The 14156-nt window shown below is 46.2% G+C and overlaps 1 protein-coding gene across 19 annotated transcripts in view, besides 2 other annotated features; it reads right to left on the bottom strand.

Moving 5' to 3' along the window:
• The window catches only part of SNX29 (sorting nexin 29), a 597554-nt gene that overhangs the window by 103906 nt on the left and 479492 nt on the right, over positions 1–14156 (bottom strand). The gene's annotated exons all lie outside the window — the stretch shown is intronic.
• Positions 1773–2274: an enhancer, noted in NCBI's record as "H3K4me1 hESC enhancer chr16:12561965-12562466 (GRCh37/hg19 assembly coordinates)". NCBI's record gives its function as "activates a minimal SCP1, AML or CMV promoter by ChIP-STARR-seq in primed H9 embryonic stem cells {active_cell/tissue: H9 hESC(primed)}" and the evidence as "EXISTENCE:reporter gene assay evidence [ECO:0000049][PMID:30033119]".
• Positions 10773–10932: an enhancer, noted in NCBI's record as "active region_10471". NCBI's record gives its function as "activates an Ori minimal core promoter by ATAC-STARR-seq in GM12878 lymphoblastoid cells {active_cell/tissue: GM12878}" and the evidence as "EXISTENCE:reporter gene assay evidence [ECO:0000049][PMID:35858748]".

The raw sequence follows: 14156 nt of genomic DNA, 5'->3' as shown, positions 1-14156 counted from the left end.
ATCAGACCCCACAGAGAAACCCGCTGACATGAAGGCGGTGAGAACTCAGAAATAAACATTCACTGACACACAGCGAACGTGGAACCAACATGTCAGGCTGCCCCTGCTTCCTGCAGCATAGACCAAATGCCTCCCTCTCCATTTCAAACTTCACTAACTCCTTAATGATCCAAAGTCCTGCATCTCAAAACTAAATACTTTTTTCTGCATGTTGTAATATTCAAGAGTGAAAACTAGTATTAGCTGGAACTTTCTTGGACGTACAGAAAAAGCTGTACCATTTCACAGCACCTGTCAGGTGCCAGACATGTTACGCACAATGTTCACAAAAGCCCTGCGATTTATTTATTTATTTATTTTATTTTTTTGAGACGGAGTTTTGCCCTTGTTGCCCAGGCTGGAGTGCAATGGCGCGATCTCAGCTCACTGCAACCTCCGCCTCCCGGGTTCAAGTGATTCTCAGCCTGCCTCAGCCTCCTAAGTAGGTGGGATTACAGGCACAAGCCACCATGCCTGGTTAATTTTGTATTGTTAGTAGAGACGGGGTTTCACCATGTTGGCCAGGCTGGTCTTGAACTCCTGACCTCAGGTGATCCACCTGCCTTGGCCTCCAAAAGTGCTGAGATTACAGGCGTGAGCCACCCTGCGCCCAGCCAGCCCTGCAGTTTTGTATGCCTTAAAACAAACCTGGAGCAACTAAGAAATGCGCTCTCTATTGCCCGAGGAGTGAGCAGCGGAACTAGCACCGGGCCTTCAGTGAATGCTGCCCCTAAAGCCTATACCACATCTTTTCCACCTCAGAGAAAAACAAGTGTTATCAACTCCTTAAAACCCTGATCCCCTTTATGCTGACTGTTGAATGCAGAGAGAATCAGATGACATGAGGATAACAACGATTCTTCAAAAAATGGCTTCAGGTTCCCAATTCATTTTGCTTCCTCAATAGCCAGGGAATGAAATGATTTGTGTTTTGGTTCAAGGCCTGTGTTAATGTATCCTAACAAAACTTTCCTTTTAATGAAATGGCTTCATGTGTTATTAACTATAAGTGTCCTCACTGCTAGAACAAAATGCCTGAATTATTGTATGGCCATGCCGATAGACGGATATTATTGCAGCCAAATGCCAAGAATAAGATGAATAACTTGGCCCAAGAAAAACGACTTTTCAGTTCACTGGGTTATGTAAATGAGGCAGCCTAGTACAAGAGGAAATGCATTATTTACTAAGAATTGCCAGCACCATTCCACAGATCTTTGAAAGAAGGATGTAGCATAAAGGTCTGGATGTGGCAGAGACCCAGCCAGTCTGTGCTTTACCTGGAACCGTGGTACCGTAACTGTAGCTGAAGAGCAGCCCCTGTGTCTCGGAGAGAACTGAGGTGCACAGATTACGTTCACTCCATTTCAGCCCATGCTCTACTGTCTCTGGACATTTGACTCAATGCTTCTGAAACTGGCATGGCCGGAAGTGCCCAAAGACCAGCCTTCCCACCCCGCTGACACTGCCTGTGCTGTTTTATTAGTTTTTAGACATGATGAGAACTGGATGCTAGGTTGAGGGTGTGTACTCCTCCTTCAAGACCCTCCTCAATTTTCCCAAACCCCGCTGTCCCCCAGGCAGAACTGCGTGTTCCCTCCTCAGTCACCACCAGGTGGCCTGTTGTATACCAAGCTCCGGGCTGGGCCCTGGGGCTATCATGGAGAACAAAACCAGGCAGGATCCCAGCCTCCCAGGGCTCAGTCCTTGGGGACCTCAGCTGACCTGATGCCAATAATCACCCATAGAAACACAGGCTTTCAAAGGGAGATGAGGGCTGCGGGAGGGGGCCTGGTTCTGCCAGGGGCACCACGCCTGGGAGTGGGGTTGGATTAGCTGAGCTTTGATGTTTGATCTGCAACCAAAATATTGAGTTGGAGGTTGCGCGTGGTGGCTCACACCTGTAATCCCAGGCTAAGGCAGGCAGATCACTTGAGGTCAGGAGTTTGAGACCAGCCTGGACAACATGGTGAAACCCCGTCTCTACTAATAATACAAAAATTAGCGGGGCATGGTGGCGGGTGCCTATAATCCCAGGTACTCGGGAGGCTGAGACATGAGAACTGCCTGAAACTGGGAGGCAGAGGTTACAGTGAGCTGAGATCACACCACTGCACTCCAGCCTGGGAAACAGTAAAACTCCCCCTAAAAAAAAAAAAAAAAAAAAAAAAAAGGAGTCAGAGTAGACAGTCCTGGAAGGGGAACAGCTGTAGGGCAAAGGGCAGGGCAGAGGGAACATGTGGCAGGGGCTCGTGTAACAGGGGACAAGTGAAAGGAGGCTGGGGCAGCTGGGGCAGGGAGGACGAGGGATCCAAGACGATACTGGAGGTGACCAGGGCCCGGTCCGGGATGTTAGAGGATGATGAAGTGGGTGGAGCCACAGAGCCGGAGCTGGAGCTGTGGCTGTTCCCTCTGCCTGGAGTGCCCTGTCCCTGGACAGCCTCGATGCCTATCCCCTCACTCCGTGAGGTTTCTGGCTCAACTGTCAGTGCTGACCCCAGCACGACCACCATCTGGCATGCTAGGTAGACCTGTTTGTTGTCTTTCTCCTTCAACCAGAGGAACAGCTCCATGAGGACATGGATCTGGTCAATTTTATCCACAGGAAGTACAAAAGAAACACTCAGTATATATTCCCAGGACTAAACTTTTAAGAAGGACAGAATGAATGAATGAATGAGTGAATGGAATGAATGAATGAATGAACGAACGAACGAACTAACGAACGAACAAACGAACAAACGAATGAACGAACAGGTCAGAGTGGATGCAGGCAGTGTATTTGCCCGTCCATGAGAGCACTGCCAGGGAGTGTCTTACTGACAGGTCCTGCCCCTCTCAATCCCACAGAAGCAGGAAGTCACCCGTGTGTCTGTGCATGTGCCTGATGGATACATGTCAAATACAATAACCGGGGGCTGCTCAGAGCATGGGACTGTCATCTACAGCTCTTATGGATTTGGAAAAGGAAAAGGAGAGCATGGATCTTCGCCCTAGTGAGCGATAGCCATTTATATACAAATGGGTTTTCTTTCACTCACTTTTAGATTACTGGAGAGAGAACACAGATGTATGTCTCTAAGAGAAAAGGAAATATTTTTAGCACTACTGGCCATGGACCATGGTTGGCCCATTCACTTTTACTTGCCATAAGCCCTGATGGAGAAGAATTTGCAACTCTCCCTTACTGAGTCTGAGCCACTGGTCTAGCAAAGAGCTAGTTAGAAGTGAAACAAGGACTGAAGCCCAGGTCTGCCCGACTTCATGGCCCACATCTTCGCATCACTGGCCACTGCCTTTTCCTTCACACCTAGGAAAGCCAGGGGAAAAGGTGGGCACTCTTGTTCCCCTAACTCACTGAATTTCTGGTCCAGGTGCCCACCCTTTGGCTCTAAAACAAAGTCTATGAGTAGATATGCCATGGACTGGACCATTTCCACCAAAGGAAGATGCAAATGGCCTCTGTTAGAGGACTCATGGAACAGTCTCCACTTTATGTCACCCTGCTAAGTTAATGGACTTTCCAATCCCCTCGGAGCCCACCGAGGACCCAAGAGCCCAGGCAGCCAACTGCTATGGCCTCTTTCAGTCCCAACTGCTGCCAACACCAGCCCCTGCCAGAAAACTAAGGAGGACACAACTTAAGCATGAAACTATCCATGCTTTGGTTCATGGCTGTTGGGCTGGGGCTCCAGGTAGATCATGGTGAGGTAGGAAGCTGGCCTTTTCAAGGGAGTGGTGGACACAAGCAAGGCATGAAGGCCCCTTTCAAAGACGCTCTGAAGACAGGCCGCGACTCTGGAAGGGGGGGTGCCACATCTGACGGCAGGTTCATCTGGTAGTAGCCACTAAAAGTTGTCCCCCTGCTGTATCTCTCTCCCATGATCACTATGCTGCTGTATATAAAGTTTTATTAAAAGTTCTAGCCTGATGTTATTATAAATGGGACTTTTCTAAATTTGTGTTTTCAGATGGTTCATTGTTAGTGTATATAAACACACCAGATTCTGTATGCTGACTTTGTATCTGACAACTTTACTCAATTTACTTATTAGTTCTGGCAGTTGTGGGTTTTGTTTTGTTTTGGTGGCATCTTTAAGGTTTTCTATATGACATGATATCATCTGCAAATAGAGAGAATTTAACTTCTGCTTTTCCAATTTGGATGCCTTTTATTTCTTTTTCTTGTCTAATTGCTCTGAATGGGACTTCCAGTACTATATTGAACCAAAGCGGCAGGAGTACACATCGTTGTTTTGTTCTTCATCCTAGAGCAAACGCTTTCAGCTTTTCACTGTTGAGTATGATGTTAGCTGTAGGCTTGTCACATACAGTTTTCTTATGCTGAGGTACATCCTTCTATACCTCATTCATTGGGGGGTTATCATGAAAGGATGTTGAATTTTGTCAAATAAAATACTTAGGAATAAACTTAACTAAGGAAGTGAAATATCTATATGCTTAAAAGTATCAGACATTGATGAAATAAACTGAAAAAAAAAAACACAAACAAATGGAAGATATCCCAAGTTTATGGACTAGAAGAAATAATATTGTTAAAACGTCCATACTACATAATGTAATCTCTATCAAAATTCCAATGACATTTCACATAAATACAAGAACAACCTTAAAACTCATATGGAAACACAGAAGACCTTGAATAGCCAAAGCAATATTGAGAAAGAACAAAGCTGGAGGTATCACAGTCCCTGATTTCAAACTATACTACAAAACGACAGTAATCGTTTGCTGCTGTCATTAAAAACAGACACATAGACCATGAGAACAGAACAAAGCCCAGAAGTAAATCCACACATATATGGTCAACTAATCTGTGACACAGCCACCAAGAAAACACAATGGGGAAAAGACTGTCTTTTCAATAAATGGTGCTGGGCAAACGGAATATCTACCTTCAAAATAATGAAATTAGAGCCTTGTCTTACACCATATAAAAATTATCATGAAATAGATTAAAGACTTAAGTGTAAGATCTGTAAAACTCCTAGAAGAAGACATAGGGAATGAGCTTGTAGACACTAGTCTTGGCAGTAATTTTTTTGAATATGTTACCAAAGCACAGGCAATATAAGCAAAAACAAAATAAGTTGGACTACATCAAACTAAAGAGCTTCTGTGCAGCAAAGGAAACAACAAAATGAAAAGAACCTACAAAGTAGAAGATATTTGCAACCCCCATATCTGATAAGGGGTTAATATCCAAAATATATACAGAAATCCCAAATAATCTGATTTTAAAATGGGCAAAGGATGTAAACAGACATTTTTCCAAAGAAGACACACATAGCCTACAAGTAGATGAAAAGGTGCTCACATCACCACTCATCAGAGAAGTGTAAATCGGAACCACAATGAGATACCACTGCACACCTGTTAGGATGGCCCTTCTCCAAAAGATAAGAGACAAGTGTTGGTGAGGGTATCGAGAAAAGGAAACTCTTGTACGCTATTGGCAGGAAAGTAAATCATAGAAAATAGTATGAAGGCACCTCCAACAAATAAAAATAGCACTACCATACAGAATCCAGCAATCCTACTTCTGGATATATATCTAAAGAAAATAAGACAGGGTGTGATGGCTCAGGCCTATAATCCCAACTCTTTCGGAGGCTGAGGTGGGAGGATCCCTTGAGGCCAGGAGTTCAAGACCAACCTGGGCAACACAGTGAGACTGTCTCTACAAAAAAAGTTTAAAAATTAGCCAGGTGTGGTGGTACATGCCTGTAAGTCCCAGCTACTCAGGAGGCTAGGGTGGGAGGATCGCTTGAGCCCAGGAGGTGGAGGCTGCAGTGAGCTGTGATCGCATCACTGCACTCCAGCCTGGGTGTCAGAGCTGAGACCCTGTCTCAAATTAACTAACTGAAAAATAAAATGAAACTTTAAAATAAAAAAGGAAATTAAATTAGTACCCTCAAGAGCTATGTGGACCCGCATATTCACTGCAGTATTATTATTCACAAGATATGGAAACAAACTAGGTGTCTGTCAACAGATGAATGGATAAAGAAAATGTGGTGTGTCTATATATTTATATACACACACATAAACATGCCACATATGGAATATATGTGGTACACACACACACACACGCCATGGAATAATATTCAGCCATAAAAAAGAAGGGAATTCTGTCATTTGTGACAACATGGATAAACCTGGAGGGGATCGTATTACACCAAATAAGCCAGACACAGAAAGACAAATATTGCCTGACTTCACTTACAGGCGGACGTGAGTGAAGTTCTATGGATAAACTCATAGAAGCAGAGAACAGACGGGGGTTGCCAGGGGCTGGGGGGATGGATAGGGGAGATAGGTGATGTTGGTCAAAGGGTACATCTTATAACTTTCTCTTAGAAGATAAGTTCTGTGGATCTGATGACAGCATGGGGACTCTGGCTAACAATACCATGGTACTGTTTACTCAAAATGTGATGAGAAAGCCAACTTTAAGTGTCATCTCTCACACACACACACACACACACACACACACACACACACTCACTTCGGGAGGTGGTGGATATGTTAATCTGATTGTGGCAGTCATTACACGATGTATATGTACATCAAACCATCATGTTGTATGCCTTGAATATATACAATTTTTATTTGTCAATATTTAAAAATTTAAAAACAATTTTTAATAATAGAGGTTGCTATGGTTTGGTTCTGTATCCCCACCCAAATCTCATCTTGAATTGTAGCTCCCATAATTCCCACGTGTTGTGGGAGGGGCCCGGTGGGAGATAATTGAATCACAGGGGCAGGTCTTTCTCATGCTGTTCCCTTGTTAGTGAATAAGTCTCATGAGATCTGATGTCTGTATAAGGCAGAGTTTCTCTGCACAAGCTTTCTTTGCCTGCCGCCATCCATGTAAGATGTGAGTTGCTCCTCCTTGCCTTCAACCATGATTGTGAGGCCTCCTTAGCCATGTGGAACTGTGAGTCCAATTAAAGCTCTTTCTTTTGTAAACTGCCCAGTCTCGGGTATGTCTTTATCAGCAGCATGAAAACCGACTAATACAGAGGTGATTAGGCAATGAAAAACTTCTAGCCTCACCTCAGTTGTGTTGTGTGGATATACGGCACAGGCCCAGCTGTCACATCTGGGTTTGAGTAGCAATGCAGAGAAAGTGCCTCCGCCTCCACCCCAAGTCAGAGCGACAACGACCGCTGACGGGCAGCAGTGCCCAGGAGCCTGGCGTCCTAATAAGGGGCATCTTCAGCATGGGCAGCAGCAGCAGGGGCCACAGAGAAAATCACAAGGGGCGAGTCCCTGAGTCCACGTGAGGCAGCTCCTGGGAAACTCAGAAATAGCTGGAGTCACTGCTATGGGAGCTAATTTCCGGCAATCAAGCTGCTGGGGGATCCAGCGATCATAGCAGGGGGATGTAAAAGGAAGTATGACTTCATCCTGCAGTCACATGTTGCAGTCTGGATATTTGAGTCATGCACATGATCCCCCCTTAGCCATGTGCATTGCTAAACAGGCTGCTCCATTTGCGGCACTGATATTCTGCATAGAGCTTTTTATTTCCCTGTGAAGGTAGAGCAGGCTTCTGCTTCTCTCTTCATAGATACAAACACCTGCCAAGTCTTCCTGGGTTTGGGGGAGGCAGTGAGGAATAGAAGCTGGACCCTTGTTTATTCTGAAATCATGGAATTAAGACACTGCTTATGATATATTGATAAGTATGACTCCAGTCACGTGTGTGTGTGTGTGTGTATAATGAAATCCCCAGAAATAAGACTGGGATACAAATTAAAACATTAACAGTGGCTGCTATTTCTGAATGGTGATAGATTTTTATTTTGTTTATCTTCTTTCAAGATTTCCAGATTTCTTTCTTCTACTGAACAGACTTTGGTAACAGAAAAATTAAATGCTATTTTTCAAGTTAAGTGGGACTCCTGGTTGGCACTGTGAAGACAACACACCTCCAATCCTCCCTCTTCTCCCCAGATACAATTGGATGAAGACTAAACTGTAGAGGTACTTGAAAAGGCAAGTCACATCCCAAAATGAAAGGCACGTCTCTATCCTTCAGGAAAAAAGAGGCAATGTCCAAGAGTGAATGGCGGAAAGTGAAGCTGACCATGGAAGCAGGGTCCAGCCCAGGCTGCAGGGCCAGGACTGAGAGCTCGCTGGGGACTAGACCTATGGCAAGAGATCGAGCCCAGCACCCAGAGCGAAGCCACAGCTGAGGCCCAGGGTGTTCAGGGTGTTTGAGATATTGATCTCCACACTGGTCTGGATATTTTCTCATATATAAGAGTGTGTGTGTGTGTGTGTGTGTGTGTGTATACATATATATATATATATATATATATATATATATATTTTTTTTTTTTTTTTTTTTTTTTGAGACAGAGTCTCGCTCTGTCACCCAGGTTGGAGTGCAGTGGCGCAATCTCAGCTCACTGCAACCTCCGCCTCCCATGTTCAAGTGATTCTCCTGCCTCAGCCTCCACAGTAGCTGGGATTACAGGCACCTGCCACCATGCCCGGCTAATTTTGTATTTTTAGTAGAGACAGGGTTTCACCATGTTAGCCAAGCTGGTCTTGAACTTCCGACCTCAAGTGATCTGCTCGCCTTAGCCTCCCAAAGTGCTGGGATTACAGGTGTGAGCAATGGCACCTGGCCAGCCTGAATATTTTCTATCATAAAAAATTTAAAGGAAAACTCCTCTTGGAAGACGCGATGCTTCAAATTGTTTTCCAACCCGAAGCAGAATTGCTGTGACGGATGGGAGGTTACTTTTCACCCTGCAGCCTCAGCACCAGAGCCTCTGAAAAAGCTTCTGATAGAGGAGACGAGTTTTAAGAACAGAATAAGTTTCCATTTGTCTTGGAGAGAAGGAGTGAAGGGCTGCGGTTAGAACTTGCTCTGACTGCAAAATTCCATGCAGGCAGGAAGCCAAACGTGCCTCTACCCCTCGTCACAGTAATAGAAGCAGCAAAACCACCTCTGGAAATTCCTTCCAAGTCAGCCCAGCTGCACATTCACAGGTATCCAATCTCTTGAAGTTCACCCAATGTTTATTGAGCACCTACTAGGCACCAGACTTGTGGTGGCTCCAAGGAGAGATACTGAGCTGAGCCAATAGTTTGGAGCAGTGGTTATGGACACAATAAGACTAAGGCTGCCTGAGATAGAATCTTGATTTCATATTCTCATTAGTTGTATGACCTTCAGTAATTTGCTAAAGCTCTCCACACATGCTTCAATTTCTTAATGTAAAATGTGGGCAATTATCGCATCTAACTTCTAGGACTGTGTTTGAAAATCAACTACTTTGCTTAACATTTAAATATTTAACAAAAGTCGGCTATTATTAGCAAAAGCAATGTGCCTGTTCTAAAGAAGTTCACACATTTGGCTGGGTACGGTGGCTCACGCCTGTAATACCAGCACTTTGGAAGGCTGAGGTCAGGCGTTCGAGACCAGCCTGGCCAACATGGCGAAATTCTCTCTACTAAAAGTACAAAAATTAGCCGGGCATGGTGGCATGCACCCTGAGTAGTCCCAGCTACTCAGGAGGTTGAGGCTGGAGAATTGCTTGAACCCGGGAGGCGGAGGTTGCATTGAGCTGAGATCGCACCACTGCACTCCAGCCTAGGCAACAGAGCTAGACTCTGTCTCAAAAAAAAAAAAAAAAAAGAGTTCACACATTTGTGAGGCAGCCAGCCAGCCAAAAAGTTATAGTCCAGTGGAATAAGTGTTATGGCATAGGGATGCACAGGAGGCCAGAAGGAGAGGTGACATGGAATGCAGTTTCCTGGAGGAGGTGATGGCTGAGCAAAGCCTTGAAGGATGAAGAGGAGCTGGCCAGGGGGAGGAGGAGGTAACAAGAGGGAAGACCAAGCTAAAAATATAGAAGGAGTTTTCTACTTTGGTTACACTAAGACCTTTCCAAATAAAATGTTCTTGACAATAGGAAATCAGTGAGAATATAATGGACTTAAAAATAATCTTGGCATTTGAACAAGCAAGGCACTCAACTCTGAAAATACTAAAGAAATCACTATGCCCAGCAGACAGTTTTAGGGTTTCCCCCTCTGAAGGAAAGTTTCAGCCGCACTAGGCCTGTTCGGCTGCGTCTGGCTGCGAGCCGTGGTTGGGTGATGAAGTCTCATTCGGCAAAACAGCTCTTGTGAGAAGGAATGGGCTGGGGAGGTCGTGATTCAGCCAGGACGGCCACTAGCATGTCACCTTCTGATGTGATCCTGAATGGCCCTCTCCCTCCTGCCACAGCTAACTATGCTTTACAGAATCAGGAGCTTCTCTGGCTGCATGGAAGCTGAGCCATGCTTCTGTTCGGTATATTTCCAACCACACTGGGAGCCAGGCACTTCTCTTCTGGAGAGGAACTCTGTGAGCTAGGCCGATGGTGTCGCTGGTCCTTCTATCTTCTTAGTCACAGACTCTTTGATTACCAGGAAGAAAGGCCAGTTCACTATGGCTTTGGGGAAATGGGGTATTACTGGACGGGTACAAGGGTATCTCAAAAAAAGCAAGAGCTGGAAAGACTGCTGGGCCTCCTGAGGGGCAGGACCAGTGACCAGAAAGCCACCCAAGTCCAAGGTTAGCTGCGAGGCCATGCTGCTCTGCTCCTCTGCACACCCAAGGGATCCTGCTTCCTCCCTGCAAGTTTGCTTTCTCCACCTCCCGAGCTCAGGGTCTAGATATGACACTCCCTCCACCCAGCCCCACGTGCATGCAGACTGACCCAGGCTCTGAGGCATAATCCCGCATGGTCCAGGAGGAAGCCTCCGTGCGAACAGTGGTTGTCTTTCTCTGCCTGCCATCCACTTCCTCTTCTTCAGTTCTCCTTTAGGGACCCACTCTCCACCCAGCCTGTCTCTGGGCTCCCTATGGGTCCCGCTCCAGCTCTGACCCTAGAGTAGGCATGAGATCAAGGCTGGGAAAATCAAAGTCCTGCATGCACCACCGTGAGGGTGTTCCACCCCATCCAGGCCCATCAGGAGCCTGTATGACAGGGAGAGAGCTGAGGGGTTTCATAGCCACATTTCTTGGCCTGTGAGGATCTAAGCTCAGAGCTGCTGGTGAGCCCCACAGGAGAGGAACCTACTAGAGAACACAGTACAGAGACGCAGAACCTAAGGGGGAAAAGGCGGGTAGGAGGATAGGGGAGGAGGGGAAGTGGAGAGGGGGAGGAGGGGGGAGTGAAATGGGAGGAGGAGGGGAGAGTGAAACGGTGGGAGGAGGGGGGAGTGGACCGGGGAGGAGGAGGTGGGGGAAGAAGACAGCAGGAGGGGGCGGAGGAGGAGGAAGGGAGAAAGGGAGGAGGAAGGAGAATAGCTGAGACCCTAGATCAAGCTACAACAGAATGTTTTACTTATATAAGGCAAAAAATTGTTTTGTTTTAGCCAGCTCAAGGTAAGATTTTGCCACTTGTAGTGAAAAGACCTGAGACCAACAGAGAATCTGATTGGGCCAGTATCTGGGTAGTTTTCTCCTGTGTGAGTGCTCACTCTGGGCCAATGAGCTGTGGCCAGAGCCTGCCTCTGCGCATGTGTGCGGCGTGTGCAGGAAGAGAAGGGGAGTGGATTGCGACACACTCCAAAGGCTACCTCCTCCTTGGTGCTCACAGCATTGCCCTTTCTGGGTTTAACTGGCCTTCTAACTCATCTACACAATTCAAAGCTCCTTCCTGTATCCTTCGCCGTGACTGGGAATTGTTGGCTGGGACAACCTTGCAGCCAACACCAAGAGTATAAATACTTCCTTTCTCCCTCTAGAAACAGGACCAGTGATAGCTGTCTAACAACAAAATGTACATAATAAATACAAAACCCTCAAATAACTACTGATCTTTAATCAAAGAGCTGCAACTTCTCAGGCAGCCACAGAAGCAAGACCACTCAGTGTCTGCATAGGGCTCGCGTTTGATGCTTCTTCCTCCTCTGCAACCAGGCAAGGTTTCCGTCTGGTTTCTCCAGAAGACTTCTGCCTCCCTGTCCCAGTGTTATGGAGACCTGTCCCCCGCCGAAATGCATTTAAGAGGTTTTAAATAATGCCAAGCAGATGGTGGTCAGCTCGGGGCAGATATGCTACAAAATGCCAACTAAGGTCCCTCTGGGCTCACAGATGGAACGTGGCTGCCACTTCCCAATGGGCCTGAGGTTTCTCCACGTGCAGTGCAGAGCCCAAGGTGAAGCTGTTAAGGCTCTCCATCCATCTACAGATGCACAGTCTTTTTTGCACAGCTGCAAGACTGTGCTTATGGTCTTTAATCTTCCTCTTTGAAAAGCATCCAATTTAGGAATTTTTGCAGTAATCATTTCAGAGTAATGAAAAACAAACAGAACAATAGAACATTTCAGATGTGATAGGCACACTCTCTGCACCTCTCTCTAATGTATGTTTAAAGAGATGTATTAGTCATCACGAGGAACCCTCTTTTGTCTCCCCACGCAATCAAATTGCACCCGTATGCAGACCACAAACATCGTAATACAGTTAATTTACCCAATGTACTCATTTCTCTCTCATAACAATGCCCGTAAGATAGCATTCAATTTTGTTTTAAAATTTCCTCACATACAAGATGGGGCTGGGATGAACATTTTTCCATCTTGCAGGCTTGCAAAGCACCACGGCAGAGGCTAACGTGTGCCATTTTGCCTGGTCCAAGTCTTTTTATGATGGGTAAATGAGGTGTGAACAGGGCCTTGCCCAAAGACCCAGAGTGAGTGGTGGAGACGTGATTTGAACCTTTGTCTTTTCCCCCACCTAATCTGTGTTCTTCCTCCAGACCACCCTGTCCTGAAGCAGTAGAGAAAGAGCTCAGGCTCTAGACAAGGCATTGAGGTATAGTGTGGGCCATTCTTGAGACCTGCCGTATCTCTGCAAAACACAGACAGATGCCTCCCAATCACTAAGAGTGGGGAGGCCCCACTCCAGAGAACAGAGGTTAAAGTGCAGGCTGTGGGAACTGCTGCCTCAATTAACCCCCGACTCCACCACCTGCCAGCTGGACAACCCTGGCCAACCTACCTTACCTTTCTGAGCATCAGTTTTAGCATCTATAGAGCGGGGATAGTATTAGCACCCACCTAAGAGGGTTGTGACATAACACATGCATAAAGCATGACCGGTGTTTATTGTACTGTTATTAGCAATTCTGGAAAGGGGTTGAACTCTCCTTAAATGCTACATGAACACACAATGTGACTTGACCTGCCCTGAATGTATTGCTACTTAGTAAGGAGAAGAAAAGGGTAAAGGGGTCTGGTCTGACATCACAGCTTACTGCCCACTAGAAGAGGGTGGCATTATGGCAAAGGAAGCCTCGAGTATCACAATCAACTCTGTCAATGCAACTCAAACACTGCTTTGGTCCTGAGATGCACAGTGTTCTCTCTGGAGGCCATCGGCAGACAAGATGCTAATGCCCCGGGCCTTCTGGGAGTTCAGAGGGTGCTCCTGAGCAGCTCCCATCAACCTAGGTACGTCTCTGTGAAGGCCAGCAGCTCAGAACCTTTCCACCTTTGGAAAAGCTCACAATCCCAATGCATCCTCTCCCTGAAAGGAGGCAATTTCACACATCCCCCCAGGCACACATGCACATACTCCACCAGATACATATACATACACATGCTACCGGGTGCACACACTATCAAGTACTCACACACGTATCCCTTCAGGCACACATGCACACACCCCATCAGATGCTCATCCATGCACACACTACCAGGTGCACACACTACCAAGTACTCACACACTGCCCCACCAGGTATACATCACTTTCGCCAGATGCACATACACACACACACACACACACACACGTGCACACATGCCACCCAGTATACACCCTTACCCCACCCCAAAACTATCCTCTACCATCATTCTCTCTCTGCTTCTTCACAGCATTTGGTATAATGAGCAATTATCTTGCCTAGTTTTTTCCAGTATCGTGCTGTATTTATTGATGCCATAGGTTGACACTGTCTGTTTACAAGATGAATCATTTGAAATGGCAGGCAATCGCAGCTGCTGACCTCAATCTGTGGTACATATCAAGACTTTATTTATTGATGGCTTGCTGTCCTCTCTCCACTGAACGTAA

Source organism: Homo sapiens, chromosome 16 (assembly GCF_000001405.40).
Source record: "Homo sapiens chromosome 16, GRCh38.p14 Primary Assembly".
Lineage (NCBI taxonomy): Eukaryota > Metazoa > Chordata > Mammalia > Primates > Hominidae > Homo > Homo sapiens.
This window is presented reverse-complemented; position numbering and strand designations above follow the sequence as displayed.